Genomic DNA, 20,247 nt, shown 5'->3' on the forward strand with positions numbered 1-20,247 from the left:
GTAATAGGGAAAAGAGTCACTCAAGAAAGAAAAGCTCTTACCTACCTTACCTTATCGCTTCATTAGGCTAAGGGCTTCTTCTCATTTACAGGGCATTCAAGTGTGTGGGGAGAAAGTTACAAATGCAGGTAAAGAGAGCAGGTCAGGTGTATGAAGGCAAATGAGGTTCTTTTTTTGGTTTTGTTTTATTTATTTCTTTTTTTTTAGAGAGACAGTCTTGCTGTCACTTAGGCTGGAGTGCAGTGGCGTAATCATAGCTCCCTGTGGCCCTGACCTCCTGGGTTCGAGCAATCCTCCAGCCTCAGCCTCCTGAGTAGCTGAGACTACAGGCATATGCCACTGCACCTGGCTAATTTATTTTATTTTTATATTTGGTAGAGATGGGATCTTGCTTTGTTGCCCAGCCTGGTCTTGCACTCCTAGCTTCAAAGTGATCCTTCCATCTTAGCTTCCCAGATTGCTGGGATTACAGGCTTGAGCTACCATACTTGGCAGCAAATGAGTTTTGAAACGTGATTTTGGTGCCCAAGTCAGGGTAATAATATACAGCTTAAGTCAGCTGCAGATCCATAGCTTTCTATGCCAAATGTTTCTGTCCCCCACACTTAATGGGATAACAGTAACTCTCCTAGAAGATGCTTGACAAAAGCATAGAGATAAAGAGGGTGGAAGGAAGAAAGTCAGATTTCTCATTATTAAAGAACTCAAGAGGTGGATGGCAATGGAATACATGTAGAAAACATTTTATCAAAACCTTGAGTTATGTATAGAACGATCTGAAAATGCTCATAATTTTTTCTTAACCCATCTTAAAGGTTCAGACTTACATATGCAACACATAGTATATAACTCTGAGAAAACAGTAACAGTCAAAGAATTTAAAAGAGAGGCATATTTCAGAAACTAGCTTCATTGTAAAATCTGAATGTTGGGTCCTGATTCTGCTAGGATCAGAGGCCAGAGGCATGAAAAGAACGTATGTTGTCTAACATTGCCTTACCTGTAAAGTGATGGAACTGGGCTAGATGAGTAATTTTCAACTCAGGTAGCTGTTGGGGGTGGTGAGCAGTGAGTGGGAATGGTGGGGGCAGGGGCCTGTAGCATTCAGTGGGTGGGGCCAGGAATGGGAAATTTCCTATGGTGCTTATGACAGTCCCACCCAAAATACCAGAAGTGCTCCTACTGGGGAGTACTGGGACAGATGATGTCTAAGGATCTTTTAAACTCAAAATTCCCTGAGATAGGAGTCTAATTGCATGAGCAGATTCATGATGCCAGGCCATGGGCACAGTTCCTGGAGTGGAGTACCCAAGAATAAGTGACTGAGAGTCCTCTGCTTTGCCTGGAGCCCCTTGAAGGCAGGGACCGCCTCTTGTCTAACTCTGGCCTGGTGTCCACCCGTGACTTAGGTCACAAATAAATACCTGCAGGCATGGGGCTGGACAGAGGTGGAGGCCTACAGCTATCAGCCACTTCCCGCGATACAAACCCTCAGGAAAACAGAAAACTTGATCAACTATTAAGTAAATGCCTGAGTGAATCTTTGGGGAAGTCTAATTATAGTTGGGTCTAAAAAGAGAACATGGGCGATATGACAATTTCTCTACGTATTTTCAGAATTATTTTGAAGTTCTCTAAGTAAGACACCCCAAACACACACACACACACTCTCTCTCTCTCTCTCTCTAGCTATCTCTCTCTCTCTCTCTCTCTCTCAGTACACATACCATTCATGGCTATTTCCATCCCTTAGGGGAGTGGTCCCTAACCTTTTTGGCACCAGGGACTGGTTTTGTGGAAGATAATTTTTCCACGGAGTGGGGGCAGGGGGTGGGGATGGTTTCAGGATGAAACTGCTCCAACTCAGATCATCAGGCATTAGATTCTCATAAGGAGCTCGCATGCACAGTTCACTTTAGGATTCTTGCTCCTCTGAGAATCTAATGCGCAGCTGATCTGATAGGAGGCAGAGCTCAGGAGGGAACACTTGCTCACCAGCTGCTCACTTCCTGCTGTGTGGCCTGGTTCCTAAGGGGCCATAGACTGGTTGGAGACCCCTACCTTAGGAAAAGCTCACTTAGAAGGGAGTATGTCACCTAGAAGGCTGCAGTCCCCAAGACATGCAAGGGAGTAGTTGTGTAGTTTGAGTCTATTCCTACAGTCAACTTTGGACACATTTATCAGGTGTCTACTATGCATGTTAGGACATAAATTAGATAATGTTCCTCCCCTGCTTAAAACCCTCCAATGACTTCTCATTTCACTTAAAAAGTCCAAACTCTTAGGTCCACAGGGACCCACGAGATCTGGCCCCTCCTTAACTCTCTGCCTTCATCTCAAGTAATATTCTGCCTTGCTAATTTACCTTCCAAATCTTTCTGTTCCTTAAATGCACCAAGCTCATTTGCATCTTCAGGCCTTTTACTTGCAAGCCTGGTACTCACGCCTGGTACACTCATCTTTTTGTTCCTTTTTATTCTTCAAATGTCAGCAAAAATGCTCTCCCTCATGACCCATTTCTGCTGTTTTCTTTTATGCATAGCATGCGTCACCGCTTGACACTGTCTTATTTATCTGTTTATTTACTTGTATGTTTCTCTCCACTAGAATTCAAGCTCTATGAGAGCAGGGACCTTGTCCATCTTGTTTCTGCTGTTGCTTCAGCATCTAATGCAGGTGTTTGACTGCTGTTGCTTCAGCATCTAATGCAGGTGTTTGAAAATAGTGTTTGTTGAATGGAAAAGAAAATCAATGTTTCTTACGAATTCTACTACAGCATAATGTTCCTTTTTTTTTTTTTTTTTTTTTTTTTTTTTTGAGACAGAGTCGTACTCTGTCACCCAGGCTGGAGTGCAGTGGCATGACCTTGGTTCATTGCAATCTTCACTTCCCAGGTTCAAGCGATTCTCATGTCTTGGCCTCCCTAGCTGGGACTACAGTCGTGCACCACCACGCCTGGCTAATTTTTTTTTTGTATTTTTAGTAGAGACGGGGTTTCGCCATGTTGGCCAGGCTGGTCTCCAACTCCTGGCCTCAAGTGATCTGTCCACCTCAGCCTCCCAAAGTGCTGGGATTATAGGTGTGAACCACCACGCTGCCCAGCATAATGTTCCTTTAAAAGCTTAAGACTGTTCCCCCTGAAATGGTAAATAACAAATGCCAAGACTAGACTTAAGCCTTCTTGGGAGAAGCTGTTAAAGGGAAATTTTCCAGAGAAAAGGTCAGCAGGTAAAACCCTTGGCCCATCAGTGGGCCTGGCAGTGCAGGCAGAGTCTTATGCAGTGCAGGTGGCTTACACCATTGGGCAATGTGAAGAGAAAAATGGATTAAGAAAATTGAAAACAAATAGAACAATCAGAAAGGAAGGGGGGGAAATAAAAAGATAAAGAAAATAAGGCAAGAAAAGCTGGAGATGGGGAGAGATCATGTGGTGGGTAGAGGAGAGCTACAACCACACTGCTGACCTCAGAGGCTTTGGAAGCCACCTCTGCAGTGGATGACCCACAGGTGCTGGATGTAACAGTGCTGTCTGGCCTTCCGCAGTGAAGCGGAGTTCTCAGCTCAGTGTCAGCTTTTCCAGCAGCCACGTTCTTTAAAAAGAAAAGAACTTTAAGGCTGCAGGAGACTTGCAGAGATCAAAGTCTACATCACCACTTACAGAGGAAGAAACAGGGGTCCAGAGAAGTTAGGCATCCTGCTCATGTCACACAGCTGGCAGCAGCAGAGCAGTGGCCAAAGCCTGGGCTCCACTCCACTGTCCAGCGCCATTAATGTCTTTAGCCTCATTTCAGGTTCGGGTGATACCACCTACCTCCTTTCTGTAAGTACAAGAAGAGGCAGAAGAAAGAGGGTGGAGAGAAAGGCTGTGATGCGGATGGGAGAGGTTGTTATACTATAACCAAAGGCCTGAGATAAGTGGATTGAAAGCCTGGATGAATAAAGACAATCACAATTCTGGACTTAAAGAGAATTTTAAATGCGTATCTCTTTCCCATTTAATATGCATCAGTCTGAGCTTAATGACAGAGTAAAACAATAACCAATAGGCTCGCAGACCAATCACATAAAGAATCCTCCATATTAATCTATAGAAATAAAAAACCAAGAGCAGGCAGAAGATTATAAAACAATAATGTAGGTCTAGCCAGTGTAGAAAAAGTGCTGAAGAATCACAGCCTCCTGCCGTGGCCCCCAGTCAACATGGACTGAATCAGTGCAACAGTGGCATGTGTAAAATATGGCAACATAAGTTTTAAATAATTCTGGTTTTTCAAGTTGTGTTTCCATGACTACCTGTTATGGTGCAGTATTTCCCCAGTAGTGGAAAGGTGTTTTATAATACTGCATCCCGCAGTTCTAAAACTTACATTATTCCTTCTTATACTGCAGAATGACTCCTTATAGATTTTTAGGGTGAAAAAGAAACACTACCAGATTAAAGATATGCATTAGTTGTAAGAATCTATTTTCAAAATGTTAAAATATGGGAATTATTTGATTTAAAAGAGCAGAAACAAAGGAATAATCCTCTCCACCACATAATTATCAGTACAGCTACATACAGGGTTGATCATTTAAAAATAATCTCAGAAACATAGATAAATTAAAAACAAACCTTGTAGTATTCTGCACCCTGTTAATATAAATTGATGTAATCTTACTTGGGGAAAAGTCTGCAGTGTATTCTGTTGTGTTTTGGCAGCTCAGCAACCATTCCCCCTACTTATAATCACGTCCATTTGTTTGTATGGAGAATCATCCCGTGCTCACTCTCAAACCATGTGCATCCAGAGGCATTCACTCCCATTCCAGACAGAGGAAAAGCATGTGATTCAAGGCTGGCTAATCAGAGCCTTGCATTCATTTGGCCCTAGAGACTTCTGGTGATGGCTTGTGATCATCAGAATCAAGGAAATTTGTAGGCTGAGGCGAGCTCTATCCCTGAGGGATGAGGCTGGAACCAGATCTGTTGAGGATGTAGGGGATGGGCCTGCTGCACTCATCCTTTGACCACATGGGGTCTAAAACCAAGACCAACAAAATGGGAATTGGAAGAGGGAGAAAAACCAAGTGCTGGTGTTGTTGGTTGAGCCCTGAATCTATCTATAACTGAAGATGGCCTTTTTCTAGACCTTTAATTTATGCAAATAAATTCTCTATTTTATTTAAGCTGGTATGGTCACGTTTTCTATCATTAGCAATGCAAAGACTCTTAAGTGATAAAGGAATTGGTACTAGAAGTGAGTGTTGAATGTGACTAAGCCTAAAATGTGCAACTGGCTGATTTGAGGTTGGGGAAGGCTAGCGCAGGCTGGCCTGGACTGGAAAATTGGCAGTCCTTGTTAAGTGACAACAAAATAGCTAGTTATGCTGCCACCTATTGACTCCTCGGTCTGAGACAGGAGCCTACTCATGGTACACCATTAATGGATTCACTGGAAAAGCATTTAGAATGGTGCAGTGTGTTGGCTATTTCTTGTGTCTTTTAGTAAGATCCACAGGAAAGAGATAAATGTAGGCTCAAAACTGACTAGAGGCACAGAGGGAAAAAATACGGCTTTGTTAAGAGAGGCCTTTTTTTGGCTGTGATCTGCAACCAAGATGGGTGAGAGTCAAATAATTTGGAGACTTGCAGGTTGGAAAACCCAAATTCTCTACAGCATGCTAACATTAGATAGAGTGGGGAGGGACCCGATCATAATCCTGAGAGACACAATTCCAAACACCAGAATCCTGAATACTGAAATCCCAAAAGATCAAAATCCTGAAAATATAATTCTGGAAGAAATAATAGAGAATTATTTGAAAGATATTTATTTACATTTTAAAGGAGGATTTATTTAAGAAACATATAAAAACATGACAGAACACTTCATAGGCCATTTTACACAATAAAATAGACAATAATAACACAAATATTTTTGCAAGCATAAACACTCAGGTATTCCAACGACAGTAGCACAGGTATAGAAGTTATAAGCAGACATCTGTATTCATAAAGAAATAGGGCAAGAAGAGAAGTGTACAAATGCATATCACTACAGTTGGTATTGTTTGTGCCCAGCTTTATAAATTTGGTCATCTGAAATACTGTGACAAAGAATCTTTTGATGAGATCAATAAAAAACTGTGACATGCAGTTACCACATAGGCAGTTGCCCAAAGAGCTGAGATCTCAAGAAATTTTCTTCACAAACGCAGATTTGTATAAAAGGCCATCTCTTCATTTATTGAGGATGTTTCAACATTTTTATGTATATGCGCAATGCTTACACACAAAGTCAATGCTGTGCTGATGCATTTTTATGGAGTTAAATTTGCAAAAAAGGCATTTAATGAATTAGAATTTTCCAAAAGTCTCTTCACAATGTATATGTCCAGTATTGGAAATGATGAAAAGATGAAATAGATGGCATAGTGAATTATAAAAAATCATGCTGAAACTTTAAAATAGTGGAAAAAAAACTAAAATAAGAAAAAGAACTAAAAAGAAAATTCAACATATGAAAAGAGTATTATGGGGATAGATTATGGGCAATTGCATGGAGATAGTCCGAAGAGCTGGCCTAACATGATGCAGCTATTCTGTGATTGTGATTTTGGGGATTTTAGATGTTCAGGATTTTAGACTTTAGAGATTTATACTTTAGGGATTTTCATCTTTGGGAATTTCAACATTCGGGATTATGGTGTTCTGGACTGTGTCTTTTGGGATTATGATCCAGATCTGGAGTAACTCTACTCTGACTCCAGGAATGGAAAGTGACCAGCCCTGGCTAATTAAAGCCTTGGGTTCCCTGGCTGCAGTGACTGGTTCAGAGACTACTTTTGAACCAAGGAGATGTAGTGAGACTTATTCTAAGGTGTGTGGGGCTGAATTGGTAGTATGTTATCCACATTAGAGGTGTGGGGCTGGAATGGCAGTATTATACCCACATTATAGACGTGGAGACTGAGCATGAAGCCAATGCAGTAAGAGCGAGGGGAGCCTGAGACTCAAGAGGTACAGCAATCAAAAGCAACATGTGGGCCAGCGCAGGGGCTCGCGCCTGTAATCCCAGCACTTTGGGAGGCAGAGGCAGGCGGATCACAATATCAGGAGTTCGAGACCAATCTGACCAACATGGTGAAACCCTGTCCCTACCAAAAATACAAAAATTAGCTGGGCGTGGTGGGGTGGTGCGCACCTGTAATCCCAGCTACTCAGGAGGCTAAGGCAGGAGAATTGCTTGAACCCGGAAGGCGGAGGTTACAGTGAGCCGAGATTACGCCACTGCATTCCAGCCTGGGCGACAGAGCAAGACTCTGTGTCAAACAAACAAACAAACAAAAGGCAACGTGTAGATGTTACTTGGATCCTGAGTCAAATAAACTAAAAAACAAAAATGAGGCAATTGGAAATTTGGATATTGTTCAGATATTTAATGATATTAAGATATTGATAATTGTTAGGTGTGATAATGTTACTGTGGTTATATTGTATTTTACAAAGAATCCCTAACTTTTAGAGATATATACTGAAATATTTGTGGATGAAATATGATGCCTGGGCTTGTTTCCAAAGTAATATAGAAAAGGAGGGAAAGTGGGTAGGGGTACAAATGAAACAAAATTGATCATGAAATAGCCATTCTTGAAGCTGGGTGAGGAGTACACAGCAGTTTGTTACACAGTTCTGTCTACTTTTCATATATATTTAAAATGTTTCCATAACAAAAAGCATTAAAAAAAAAAGACTTGTGGCTCATTCCCTTCCTTATCCACTAGAGGCTGTTAAAGAGGTTTGCTTAATCTAGTGTAAAAATGCTCAGACTTGTAGAGGTAACTTACAGAGTTACAGAAGTTACCTTTTACTTCTCAAAATAATTTCTTTTGCTCTTGGAGAAACTGGATAGAATGAGGGCTCCCCTACAATGGTCAAAGAACAAGTGGTTCTTCCCAGAAAAGGAGTAAACTCTCAAAATCTGAACACCCATTATTAGTGGCAATAAAAAAGTAAAAATAAAAGTCCAACCAACAAAAGAACAGACCCTTTTTTCTAGATCAGCACTGTTCAGTAGAAATATAATTTGAGTTACGTGTGCAATTCTATATTTTCTACGAGCTATGTTAGAAATAGTAAAAGTAAATAGGTGAGATTGTAATATTTTCTTTTAACACACTACTTCAAAAATAGTATCAAAAAAACCAATGAAAATCCCCCCAAATAGTATCATTATAACATGTACTAAACATTTGAAAAGAACTATGAATTAGGTATTTTATACTCTTTTTTTCACAAGAAGTCTTCAGAAACTGGTGTTTACTTTACTACTGGCAGCACTTCAAGTGCTCCAGAGCCACTACCACACTGGGCAACACAACTCTAGACAGTGAGGGCCTGACACGCAGGCCCCATCTTACTCATCTTTTATGCTGGCAGGATGCCTGAATGACACTTAACAGATGTTCAATCAATGTCAGTCCCGGAAAAGTCTTGGTCCACCTAGAGCCAACTCTGCGCTTTATAGTTATAAATTCTTAGGAAGAGTTTATTCTGCTTGAAGCCATCTCTTAAAACAAGGAATTGACTAGGTATTGTTGGATTTGTGGCCAGTAGAAGAGCTAAATTGGCTTCTCTTCCCCGAGGTCTTAGTGCTAACACTTCTAGTACCACATGTGAAGAGATACTGCAGTAAAGAAGTTTTAAATTAAGGGCTCAGAAAAAATACATTGCCTTAGTCTGTTTTGTGCTGCTGTAACAGAATACTGGCGACTGAGTAATTTATGAAAAGGCCAGATACGGTTCTGGATGCTGAGAAGTCCAAGGTCGAGGGGCCACATCTGGTGAGGGCCTTCTTGCCGTGTCATTACCATGGCTGAAGGCAAGAGAGCATGCACAATGAGAGGCAGGGAAGGAAGGAAACAGAATTCATCCTTTTATCAAGAACCCACTCTTGTGATAACTAACCTAGTCCCATGATAAGGACATTAATTCATTTATAAGGGCAGAGCACTCAGGACCTAATCATCTCTTAAAGGTTCCACCTCTCCTTTGGGAGGCTGAGGCAGGCGGATCACGAGGGCAGGAGATCGAGACCATCCTGGCTAACACGGTGAAACCCCGTCTCTATTAAAAATACAAAAAATTAGCTGGGCGTGGTGGCGGGCGCCTGTAATCCCAGCTACTCGGGAGGCTGAGGTAGGAGAATGGAGTGAACCCAGGAGGCGGAGGTTGCAGTGAGCCGAGATCGCACCACTGCACTCCAACCTGGGCAACAGAGCAGGACTCCATCTCAAAAAAAATAAAATAAAATAAAGAAGTCCCACCTCTGAACATGGTTGCATTCAGGATTAAGTTTCTGACAAATGAACTTCAAGGGACACATACAAACTACAGCATTCACGGACTCAAACACTTCAGTGGCTTTCCATTTTATACCAAGTAAAACCTAAAGTCCTTGCCATGACTAGCAAGGTCCTCGAGGATTTGACACTCCCCCACTTCCCCTCTCCTTCCTTGACCTCTTTCCCTACCTTCTCCCCCCATCTCTTTGCCTTAGGGATTTTGTGCTTGCTGTCCCCTCTTCTGAGGACACTGTTCTCTTGGCTGCTCCCCTCACTCCACTCATGTTCTGCAGTATTTGTGCCTGATCTGCTCTTCCCACCAGAGAGGCAGCTCCACGAGGGCAGAGTTTGTCTTGGTCACTGCTGCTGCCCCAACAACTTAGAACAGTATCTGGCATAATGCAGGTGCTTGAAAATATTTGTAAGTGAATTTTACAAGCTTCCAGCTCTAAGTTTAGTTCTAACTTTCACTTAACCTGGGGTTGTGATTATGCTGCTCCACGTTTGGCTCTAGGCAAAAAGGTGCCAGGATAAAGTGGAAATTGTTAGATTTGCTCTCCAAAAAGACCTGGGGAGGCTCTTGCTTCTCCCAACAGGTTGACACAAGACAGCCATTTAAAAAGACAATAATGGGGGGCCCTGCCAACAGATTTAACGACTCTTTCTCACGCAGGGCTGTTTGCCAGTGTCAGGAAGAGAATGAGTTAGAAAATAGTGAGATGACTGACTTGGAAAAGAGGCAGGGGAACCAAACTAGGGTGAAAAAAAAGAGGCCCAGGACTATCTAGAAAGGACAGTCCCATAACGGCTTCACGTACTCATATCCAACAAATCTGCATTCTATGCCCCTGTGTGCCTGATGCCAGTACCCTAGATGCTGAGGACACAGCGTGGAAGTTCACCTCTCCATGCTGAGTTTGGCAGTTTTGTGCTCAGCAAAAACCAAGAAACAAAAAGCAAACAAATACAAGTGCTGAGGTTGGAACATCACTTGCCTTATTTCTTTGAAGAGAAAATGATTTCACATGTGGAAAGACCATTCATGTTTTTTTCTTTTTTTTTTCTAAGCACTATCTTGTCTTAGGTAATTTAATTAAAATGCAAACATTTCCCAGTTACCAGCATCCAATATAAGTGGCCCCCAGGGGAAAACCCATGTGAATGATAGAAAGAGGCTTCTTGCAACCCAAGGGAGAAACTGGTGGAAAGCCCCATTTTCACATCCTGCCAGGTACATACTTGTGCACACACACTGAGAGAAGCTGCTGGCATGAAGATAGCTGTGTGTTCCCTATGGTTGCTAATCATTAGGTATAAAGGCCAGAATGGGCCTTTACAATTACTTCTGGGCTGGTGAAAGTAGCCATATTGTTCCTTATTCAGACTTCTCTGTAGCTAAATGGCTACTCAGTATCACCTGCTGGAGGACAGAACTATATGGACACTAAAGGCCCCTCCCTTGGATTCTCAGGAACAAGGGTAAATAGCTCTGCACCTCTGGGCCTGACACCACCCATCTGAACACTGTGGGAAGGGCTCAGTGACCTAAGACTCCCCTAGGGGCCCTCTGACTGCATATAAGCCAGGCCTGGCTAGTGCAGCTGCCTGGGAGAGGCAGACCCAACTACTCTGCAGGTGGACAGTAAATGGTGGGCATTTGTGAGTGCCATAAGAATGGGGGGCCTTCCTGGGATTCAGATGATCTGCAATGTACCACACTGTCTCACTCAGTAAAGAATTGTCCCACAGGACCTTCAAAGGTCCTGTTACATATTGATGTGGTTGAAAAAACTATTTCTAGTTATCTGAGCCTAGACCTTAACTCCAATTTATACATAAACTCAAAATAGTTATTGCACTGTTGTATTCATTCCCTGTATTTTCCGGTAATGCAAATGTCATACAAATGAAATACTTTGTTTTGTTCAGATATTTACCAAGAGTTAGTTGCCCCTTTGGAAAATCATGAGCCCAAGGACAATGTCAATGGTGTTACTGAAGTCTTTAACTCAAGAGAGCCTGCAATGGCAGCTGTCACACCCACCGTGATCCTACGCATACACGCAAACACCTGACCATGTACTTTTGTTTTCTGATGAGTTGTACCTGATCACTTACAAACTGAAGTTATTTTATAATAAATTACTTTCATTTCTCTTTTAAATTAAGACTACATTGATTTGGAGGGAAATTGTGTGTGAAGTCAGATTATTTTATTTGTGAAGGTTCACTGAAGATTTTGAAGAGGGCATTAGAAAATACTGTTATTACAAGTGGGCACGGGGTCAGTCGGGGCTGGGAGCCACTGCTTCTGGTGGTCCTGGGATGTCTACATGTGCCTGAGCTCCGTTTAAAGTCATGAAAGGCCAATCAGACGATTCTGCTCATCCAGCCTGGGCAGTGGAGACCACCACAGCTACTCACCTCTGATCCTGTGAAGGAGCTTCACATTTTGTTACCAAACATATCACAGAGGCGTGGGTGATTCTTTCTCCTGTTTCTCAGCAGATCCTGCTTTTCTCAGTGGCTTGGCCAGAACAGAATTTGTTCTACTCGAATGACCCCAGATTCCCTCCAAGAACTTCCCTCCTCTCATTCAGCTTCTCTGGATTCTTCAAATGACTGACTGGGGAAACAGATTGTTGGAAAAACACTTTCGGGTTGCCTCGATGGGGTCAATACCTTATCAGGCCACAGGAAAGACAAAGGAAAATGCTTCCTGCTGGAGCATGTGCACATATGTTGTTCCTTTAACTCCAAATACGTATGCAGGGGTGGTGGTAGGATCAGAAAATGTGTGATCAGAAAGTGACCAGTTCCCCACCATTTTGTGTGGGTTTTATTTTCTTTCTGCTCCGTGTTGACTCTTTTCCCCACAACACGGAAGCTGCTTAATCCAAAGACTTGGACCATTTCATTCTGTTTCAGATCCATTCCAACAAAATGATCAGTTGGTGGCTTATGTAAAAAGCAGCTCCATGACTACATTTAAATATTGACTAGTTTGGGAATAACAAACCACAAAAATTTGGGGTATAAAAACCACATGTGGTTTATGTTTTGTAGGACACCCTCAGGAAGATAAATGGACAAAGTAGAAAAAAAATATAAATGGTCTCTCCCTGCCTCACCCCCACCATCATTAAATAAAAACAAAAAACACACAAAAATAAAATGAAACAATGATTAAACAAAACTCAAGCTGGGTGCTACTCCTGGCTTTGGATGGCAGTTGTGTCTTGGCAAGGCAAGTTAAGTAGTGGTCTGGGAACTGTGGCTAAGGTCAACGTGTCAGAATAGCCCGACATAACCTCCACCTTGGTCAACAGCTCACCCAGCTCCTGACCACGGCTCCTCTCTGTCACCAGCACTTCCTCCTTCCAGATGAGCTTCTCCAACCTCTAGGTCCCTGCAGTCACTGACCTTTTCCCCCAGATCTGGCCCCACACTCAACCTCCCGGCCCTCTTCTCCAGCCAAAAGAAAAACGCACAAAACTGTAGATGACTTTCTAGAAATAGAAGTGTTTTATAATCTTTGTGTGTCTCTAATGCCACTGTTAACTAGCGAGCAGCTGTGCTAGGGCTCCATGCACAGCAGCCATTCAACAAATACTCAGTATCTTCATGTTCCAAGGTTGCTTTAGGGGATACTACAAAGATTAAACAGACAAAATTGTCCACCGTCATGGAGCTTACACTCCTATCTGCGTTGATGATGTGTGGAAGGAAATTTACCCTCTGTTTTATGCTGTGCAGGTGTTCATTTAGGCCCAGCTCATATTATATTATGAAGAGCAGCCTCACCAAGATCACTGTCAGAGCAGCACTAATCCAGGCAAACTAGGATGCAAATGGAAAGGGCTCCAAAGTCCTTTGGGGGTTAGTCGTTTCAATCCAAGGACCATTTCCATAAAACAAAAACAAAAACAAACAAACAAAAAAACTTGATGATATATTGCTAGGCCAGCCCACAAAAGTATATTTAGTTCATAATGTCACTAAACTAAAACTTCAGTTCTGAGTCCTCAAAGGAAAGGACTTTAAGGTGGTATCAGGAGGAGGAGGAGGGAGGGTCGTCCCTCTCTGGGGCTCCCCAGCCTCAGCTTCTGCCTCTGCCCCCACCTTCAGGCCACCTCCAAACTTTCCCTTGGTCTCATGCAAGACACTAAGGGGCTCCTGTCCCCCAAATATTTCTTACCCTAAATTGTAATTCCCTTTCCTGGGATAAGATGATCTCATTGAGGCATCAGGAGGAAATCAAGTTGTCTTTTATTTAAAAGAGAAGAGAGGTGTTAACCCATGTTAACCCATATGATGTTGAATTTTTTTGAGATCAGAGAAGACATTTAGTTGGAGGAAGACACCACATAGTACAGTCACACACTGTCTAGGGTTAACTTTGTTAAGTTTCTCCCACTTTTCATAGTTTGATTCCTTCACTTAAATAACTTTATTTTTTTTTGAGACAGATTCCTGCTCTATCACCCAGGCCAGAGTGCAGTGGCATGATCAACTCGCTGCAGCTTCAAACTCCTAGGCTCAAGCAATCCTCCCACCTCCTGAGTAGCTGGGACTACAGGTGCATGCTGCCTCGCTTGGCTAATTTTTACAAATTTTTTATTTTTGTAGAGACGTAGTCTTGCTATGTTGCCTAGGCTACCTTCAAACTCTTGGCCTCAAGCAATCATCCTGCCTTGGCCTCCCAAAGTACTGGGATTATAGGTGTGTGCCACCATACCCCACCTATTTTTAAAAATCACCCATTAATACCCAGAGAAAACCAGTTATCATCTTAGAATTTCTTTCCAGTGTTTTTCTTTCTTTTTGTGTTTGTATTTAAAATGGGATCATACTTTGGATGTGTACGTGCGTCTGTATATATCCTTCTTTTTCACATTTCCCCATATTATTCTCTTAACACAATTTTAATAGTTGCATATCTCATTTTCTGGATGTTCTATTATCTATGTAAATATTTTTTATTGTTAGACATTTAAATTGCATCCAATTTCATTATTACAAATCCTATTATAATTAATATACTTGCATCTGAATGTTTTGTAATCATTTTATAGTATTTCCTTAGGATAAATTTTTAGAGTACAATCACTAGAAGACATGAACAGTTTTTTTTTAAGGAATCTTGATACATACGATTAAATTATTTTCTCAAAGTTTTAGCTTGCATACTCCCATCAGTACTCATTTCTTCTTTTTAACATGTGCTATTATGACGTTTCAAAATCTTTGCCAATTTGATAGGTTTATTTATTGTCTTCTCCATTATTAGTATATCTTACTCCATTAGTGGTTTGTTATCTGGATTTAAAAAAAAATCACAGGGATTTAGTCTTTTCCTTATTTCCTCCTATTTGAACCTAAAGGTTACCTAAAAGCTCCATGATTTTTCATAAACAAAATAAAATATTCTAACCATTCGTAGACTGACTGGGTGGAAGGCAGTGACCGTTTCTGTGTGTTTATAAACCAAATGTTCATAAACCAAGGACTACCTTTATTTTATTAGCTGTGGCTAATTTTGTGCAGTCTATGAGAATTTTTACCACTGTAAGAAATGTTTCTATCCCATGCTGGGAGGAGAGGGTAGGACCTCTAGGCACATCTTACCATAGCTCTTCCTGCCTCAAAGGCAAAAGCAGGAATGCCTTGGTTTATGTTATGCACATGCAGACGTGTAAACTTCTAAAGTCTAAGGTACAGAAAACAGCAGTTGTGACCCTGAGTCACCTTATTTTAGTGTTCACAAGACCAAAGTTCCCAGAAATCAAGGTGTAATTTAGGCTGACCTAATGAATACTCAAGCTTCTCTCATTTTTACCATTTTCATTAGCCATTATGCAAATATTTTAGAAAAGGTAGAATCTAGTTTAGAATTTTTTTATGATTGCAAACTTGATGATAAAAACCTCTTTTGAGCACAGGTCATTCAAAGCAACTCTAGCAGTCTACTTGGTGGGCTGTAATTTCCAGTTGTCCTGGGCTAGAAGGACAACTGATCTCCTTTCCACCTGGCTCTTCCCAAGTGAAGACCTGTGACAGGATGTTCCTCACTTTGCACAGTTCTTCATCCTGCACTTAGGAGATATTTGATATTTCTAAATTAGACAGGCAGATGCTTTGAGATGAAGTGCCTGGTACATACTAAACACTCAACAACATTAGCTACTATTACGATTATTAAGTGAGCAGAACTTCTCCCCAGTTCGTGCTACTTGGTAAAAGAGGAAACAAGGGTAGGTTGGGCAGGGAGGGCAAGATTGATAAGTAAGAAGGCAAACATGGGAACACAGCTGGTAAAGTGGCTCCTTTTGTTTACAGAGGGATAATTCAATGCAATGTAAGAATGAAGACTTTTATAATGCTGAGTTATGGGTTATTTTTTAAAATTTTAAACAAAAAAGAATAAATAATTTACTCTTTGATATTTGAAAAAAGTAGGTGCTAATCATTTGAGTCTCCATTTATGTCATTTATCTAAAACTCATTTTCAGATACACTTAGCCCTATTTAAAAAAGCTGCACTGATCCATTCAATTTGTGCTGGTCACTCTCATTCACTAATACCTCTGTATTTTTGTGTAATTCCAAATATCACTAGACTCAATGAACACAAATTCAGAAAGAAAATGCCCTACAAATTTCCTAAAAACACAGTTGCTCCTAAAAGTTAAGAAACGGGGATTAATAAGTTGGTTTTATGTTCATTAACTTGTTTTCATTTCACCTGGAGAGAGCCATTGCTAATTAGTAGTTAAGTTAAAATTCCAAGAGCCGAATGCCGAGCCACTTGTCTCCAAATCCTCCACTGCAGAGAACAGGACTCCTCTTCATTTCACTAAGAAAATGTTCAAAGGCTTTTCGGATAGTCTCACCCAACTAGGGAATGGAAGACTGCTTATTTTCAAGTCTGCTTTATTCTAGTGGTTGAGGAGTAAACAAAGAGAACAGTAAACGTCTGGGAATGTTTTCAGAGGTGACACATAACAAACAGAGAGAAAATAGGCCTTGAGGCAAGATCTGATTTAACTACGTAAGTGAGAAAAAAAAACATGCCACAATTCCTATCATTATTCCCAAGTTCTGCCACCACAAGCTGATGGCATTCTGACGTGAAAGGTACTAGTGCCAAGAGTCAAATAAAGCTTTGGCAAAATTGAACACCACACAGAAAACAGAGTATCCAACTCTCATTGTCAGGGCATTCATGGAAAACAAGTATGAAGATCAATATGAAATCTTATTTTCCAAAGTACAAAGGCTTCTGTATACAGAATTTCCTACTATCCAAGCTATACTCTTAACCTGCTGCAAAACACCTTGTGGAGGTACATCTTACTCTTCACTAGCATTGTTCACTGCAATGCTTTCCAACCTCTGTTTGCACCAATGTTGAGATTAAGTTTTCTCCTATGTTCCCTCTGCCCCAATATCTTGAGAATATAGATGAGAGTTTCTCAGAAGTTCTAAGATGCACAAAGATGAGAATATCTCAAAAATATTTACAGCATAAGTAACATGGAGAAGTTCAAGCAATGGAGAACAATAGCGACATATATTCATTCTACTCTGGATTCTGTGACATGTATATAATCAGTCTTAAAAGCGCAGCTTTAAAAAAGTTTTAAAGTTATGACTTTATTCTAAAATGCCACCAAACCATAATAAAGACAGTGTACAATATATTACTTAGGGAAGAAACTGATACCTGTTATTGCTTTGCTAGAATTTGGGCTTAAAAAAAAATAAAGTTGATAAAAGGATGGGTCAATTCAGTGGTGATTTGCCTCAAGGATAACTCCTCCCACTTCCTATACAAAATAAGCAATTACATTAAAAAAATACAGTCAGAATTTTATGGAATCACATCAGTTTTTAATGTATGAATCAGAGAACATAACAATCACTATAAATGTAGCATGGTTATGTATTTTAAGTCTCTAGTCCTATTTTCCTTAGTGTAGGCATAAAAGTTCTTAAAGGCTTAGAATTTACTCTTAAAATACTATAAAATATTACTATTTTTATGACAAAAGCAATTTATGAATTTATGGAAAAGGAAATATTTATAAAATATGTTAGTAAAAGCACTGTTTATGTTTGTATAGCAACATTTAAAAGTATTCAAAGGTCATTCATTGCTAAAAATATTTAAAGCAAAATAAAAGGGAAGTTAAAAACAGCTTCACTTAAACTTGCAGTTTCTAAAACTTATCAGGACCCAAGAGCCTGGAAGTATCAAAGATTAAGTGGAAATCCATATTCAAAAGAGTTCTGTGGAATTCTTATAAAGAGAAGAGCAGGCAAAGGTCATCGGAGGACATTATTTTAGCTGAAATTCTGAGTATCATTCAAACAGGGGAGCCAATGCTTGGTATTAACAAAGTGCTGTTTTCTACTGCTGAGCTCAGATGACAGCCCACCCTCTATTTGCCAAAATTAGTGGATGAGAAATCATTTCATGAACTCATCCAAAAACATGAAGTGCACTAATAAAGCTTTACTGCCATCCCTCAGTCATCACTTTGCTTGGCTAGGCTGGTGGCCAGCAGGAATATCTCCCTCTACAAAACTGTTTCAAAGTAATGACTTGGAGGAAGTGGTGTGCTGATACCATGAAAAAAAATTCCCTCAAACACAAAGATAGTTCAAAAAGCATCTGTATATGGCTCAGAGGAAACAAACAGCTCAGCTCATTTCAACTCAAAAGAAACCCAAGAGACCAGTTTACCTTGGCCATGGTTACACACATGCAGGCAAACTTAAGGTTGGCATTTATCCAGGGATTTTGATCCGTGCCAAAAGGGATGATGAGTTATCCATCCTGAGGTCAAGATGGAATAAAGAAAATACACTGAAAGAGAATCATGTGTCTATAAGAGGATTTCACACCTTCCTCTTCACGAGACAGGGAGGCCTCGACCCCTGCTGGAATGGCAAGTCTGGCGTCCCTTCCTGAAGCCACTACTAGATCAGAAGTCCACTCTGAGCCTCCATCACATGGTTTCTCCCCTGCTGAGGCCTTTCCAGTCTTCCTTCCACAGTGTGGTCCTTAAGGAGCTAAGGAGGGAAGAGGATACCTAAAGCACTTGTTTGTCAAGCTTGGGCTGAAATACATCTAGAATCTTTAAGATGACCAACATTGAATTTTCCATTTTTGAGCGTTTAAAAATATTCTTCAAATTAAGGGAATACATAAGCAATAAAGACCATGTTTTACTGGGTTTTGAAAATTATTTAGAGTTTTCTGTAAAAGCAGTTACTTTTCTGAGAGAACAGGTGGCAACTGCTACCAAAATTTCAAAAAGATCCTTATTTTTATTTTCAAATAACTTTTATTTGACAAGAACTTTGTCAGTAATGGTCTTTAAATTCTTTTCAATCCTGGCTTTGTATTGCTATTTTGAGGTGTTTCTTGCTAACTGGATTAAGGAAGCCCAAAGAGCCCTCTGGTTTTGGTCATCAAGGAAATTTGTCTCACAACTGATGATTTATTTGATTTTTTTTTCATTTTTTTTAATAGGAAGACAGGAAACAGTGATAAACCTTTAATATCTGAAACTTGTGTCATTGACCTTCAACTACATAGTGAGGTTTTCAGTTCAGAACATTTAGGGCCCATGTTACATGTGGGGATAATTAAAATGTTTTAAGTGATGCTTTCTATTCTTCAAGTGTTGGCCATAATATTCAAGCTGGGTACAAGCAGCAGAGATTTTTGTCTGAGCTCAGTCCAAGCTCTGCAGTTTCTGCTGTTTGTCTTTCTAGGTGGCACCAGTCAGTCATCCTCTGCAGCTCATGAAACCCAGCATAACCTTTTGGGCTGCTCTGGAAAAACACATTGAGCAATAAGGGTTAGAATACTTTGTGTTCAATGTTTCCAGTGCTACTCTCTGGCCAGGAGAAATACCAAATCATAGGCATCTGGAAAAGAGAGACAGCCCAGAAAGAATGATGATGTTACAAAGCCTGTGAGCACAGACCCCTCGTACATGTTCATCTACCTGCTGTCTGCTTAATACTGAGCTATAGGCATCGGAGCAAATGGTAATTTCTATCAGTCATGACTCAAGTGCTGGTGTGGTCTTCAAGTAGCAATGGATTGACTTCCAGGGAGTGAAATGTCATTGTTCTGATCACCTTGTGGACACAGGGAGTGGTGAAAAGTTGAGTCCATGGCAGCATCAGAGCAAGAAGGAAGTGCGGTTGGTTGGAACGCGCACCCTGTGGTGGTGATGTTCTCCATTAGCATTTCCCAAAGGTCTCACCCAGCCATAGTAAATTATTAGGAGGCCCTCAGCATCTCTCTGTGTAGTTTAAATATCGTATTGTATTTTCTTGGCCAGTCCATGAATGGAAAGAAGTGAATAAAGATATCAGAAAGTAGACAAACTGCAATGTGACCTGATGCAGAGGTGGAAAGGGTGTGGTCTGGAAAGGCAGAGGTTCAATAAAGGCCTTTGAGGTTTCCTTTCATTTCCACAGTTCTTAGTCACACAATTTCCTTTGTGGATTTTAACGGTAACTAATAAGGCTTTGAAAAGGAATCGAATTGGTATGCTAGGTGGGAAATGACAAAGGTCATCTTGCCACTTCAGCAGGGTTATTTTAACCTTTCTTTTATACTCTTCAAGTCCTCTTTCCAGAATAATTGAAAATCCCATAATTAAAAGACCTTCCTTTGTGCCCACATTCCCCTTCTGAGATCAACTAGAGCTGGGCTCACCCCAACCATGGTCAACTGGACCAGGCCAGCCAGGCCTCAGGCTGGAGAGCAGGCTGTGAGCTGGTCTGTCCTGAAAAGCTCGGCACAGACAAGGAAAAGGTAATGCACGAGGCAACTCATGTCCTTCCTTGTCTCAGAAGTATGAACTGAGGATCAAGGAGGGGCAGGCAGTTAGC

The 20,247-nt window shown here is 40.9% G+C and overlaps 1 protein-coding gene across 18 annotated transcripts in view, besides 7 other annotated features; it reads right to left on the reverse strand.

Annotated features, from left to right (window-relative positions):
- The window catches only part of WIPF1 (WAS/WASL interacting protein family member 1), a 123,340-nt gene that overhangs the window by 38,552 nt on the left and 64,541 nt on the right, over positions 1–20,247 (reverse strand). Inside the window, exons 7-9 of one of the 18 annotated variants that reach the window (XM_047445757.1) lie at positions 17,054–18,405; positions 16,073–16,265; positions 46–14,646 (exon numbers count right to left, since the gene is read on the reverse strand). The gene's annotated coding sequence lies outside the window, so the exon portion shown is untranslated. 18 annotated transcript variants of the gene reach the window in all.
- Positions 6,580–7,081: an enhancer, noted in NCBI's record as "H3K27ac hESC enhancer chr2:175469433-175469934 (GRCh37/hg19 assembly coordinates)". NCBI's record gives its function as "activates a minimal SCP1, AML or CMV promoter by ChIP-STARR-seq in primed H9 embryonic stem cells {active_cell/tissue: H9 hESC(primed)}" and the evidence as "EXISTENCE:reporter gene assay evidence [ECO:0000049][PMID:30033119]".
- Positions 7,082–7,581: an enhancer, noted in NCBI's record as "H3K27ac hESC enhancer chr2:175469935-175470434 (GRCh37/hg19 assembly coordinates)". NCBI's record gives its function as "activates a minimal SCP1, AML or CMV promoter by ChIP-STARR-seq in primed H9 embryonic stem cells {active_cell/tissue: H9 hESC(primed)}" and the evidence as "EXISTENCE:reporter gene assay evidence [ECO:0000049][PMID:30033119]".
- Positions 8,497–8,546: an enhancer, noted in NCBI's record as "active region_16777". NCBI's record gives its function as "activates an Ori minimal core promoter by ATAC-STARR-seq in GM12878 lymphoblastoid cells {active_cell/tissue: GM12878}" and the evidence as "EXISTENCE:reporter gene assay evidence [ECO:0000049][PMID:35858748]".
- Positions 8,557–8,646: an enhancer, noted in NCBI's record as "active region_16778". NCBI's record gives its function as "activates an Ori minimal core promoter by ATAC-STARR-seq in GM12878 lymphoblastoid cells {active_cell/tissue: GM12878}" and the evidence as "EXISTENCE:reporter gene assay evidence [ECO:0000049][PMID:35858748]".
- Positions 9,942–10,001: an enhancer, noted in NCBI's record as "active region_16779". NCBI's record gives its function as "activates an Ori minimal core promoter by ATAC-STARR-seq in GM12878 lymphoblastoid cells {active_cell/tissue: GM12878}" and the evidence as "EXISTENCE:reporter gene assay evidence [ECO:0000049][PMID:35858748]".
- Positions 10,392–10,651: an enhancer, noted in NCBI's record as "active region_16780". NCBI's record gives its function as "activates an Ori minimal core promoter by ATAC-STARR-seq in GM12878 lymphoblastoid cells {active_cell/tissue: GM12878}" and the evidence as "EXISTENCE:reporter gene assay evidence [ECO:0000049][PMID:35858748]".
- Positions 14,046–14,095: an enhancer, noted in NCBI's record as "active region_16781". NCBI's record gives its function as "activates an Ori minimal core promoter by ATAC-STARR-seq in GM12878 lymphoblastoid cells {active_cell/tissue: GM12878}" and the evidence as "EXISTENCE:reporter gene assay evidence [ECO:0000049][PMID:35858748]".

The sequence above is a fragment of the Homo sapiens genome, chromosome 2, assembly GCF_000001405.40.
Source record: "Homo sapiens chromosome 2, GRCh38.p14 Primary Assembly".
NCBI lineage: Eukaryota > Metazoa > Chordata > Mammalia > Primates > Hominidae > Homo > Homo sapiens.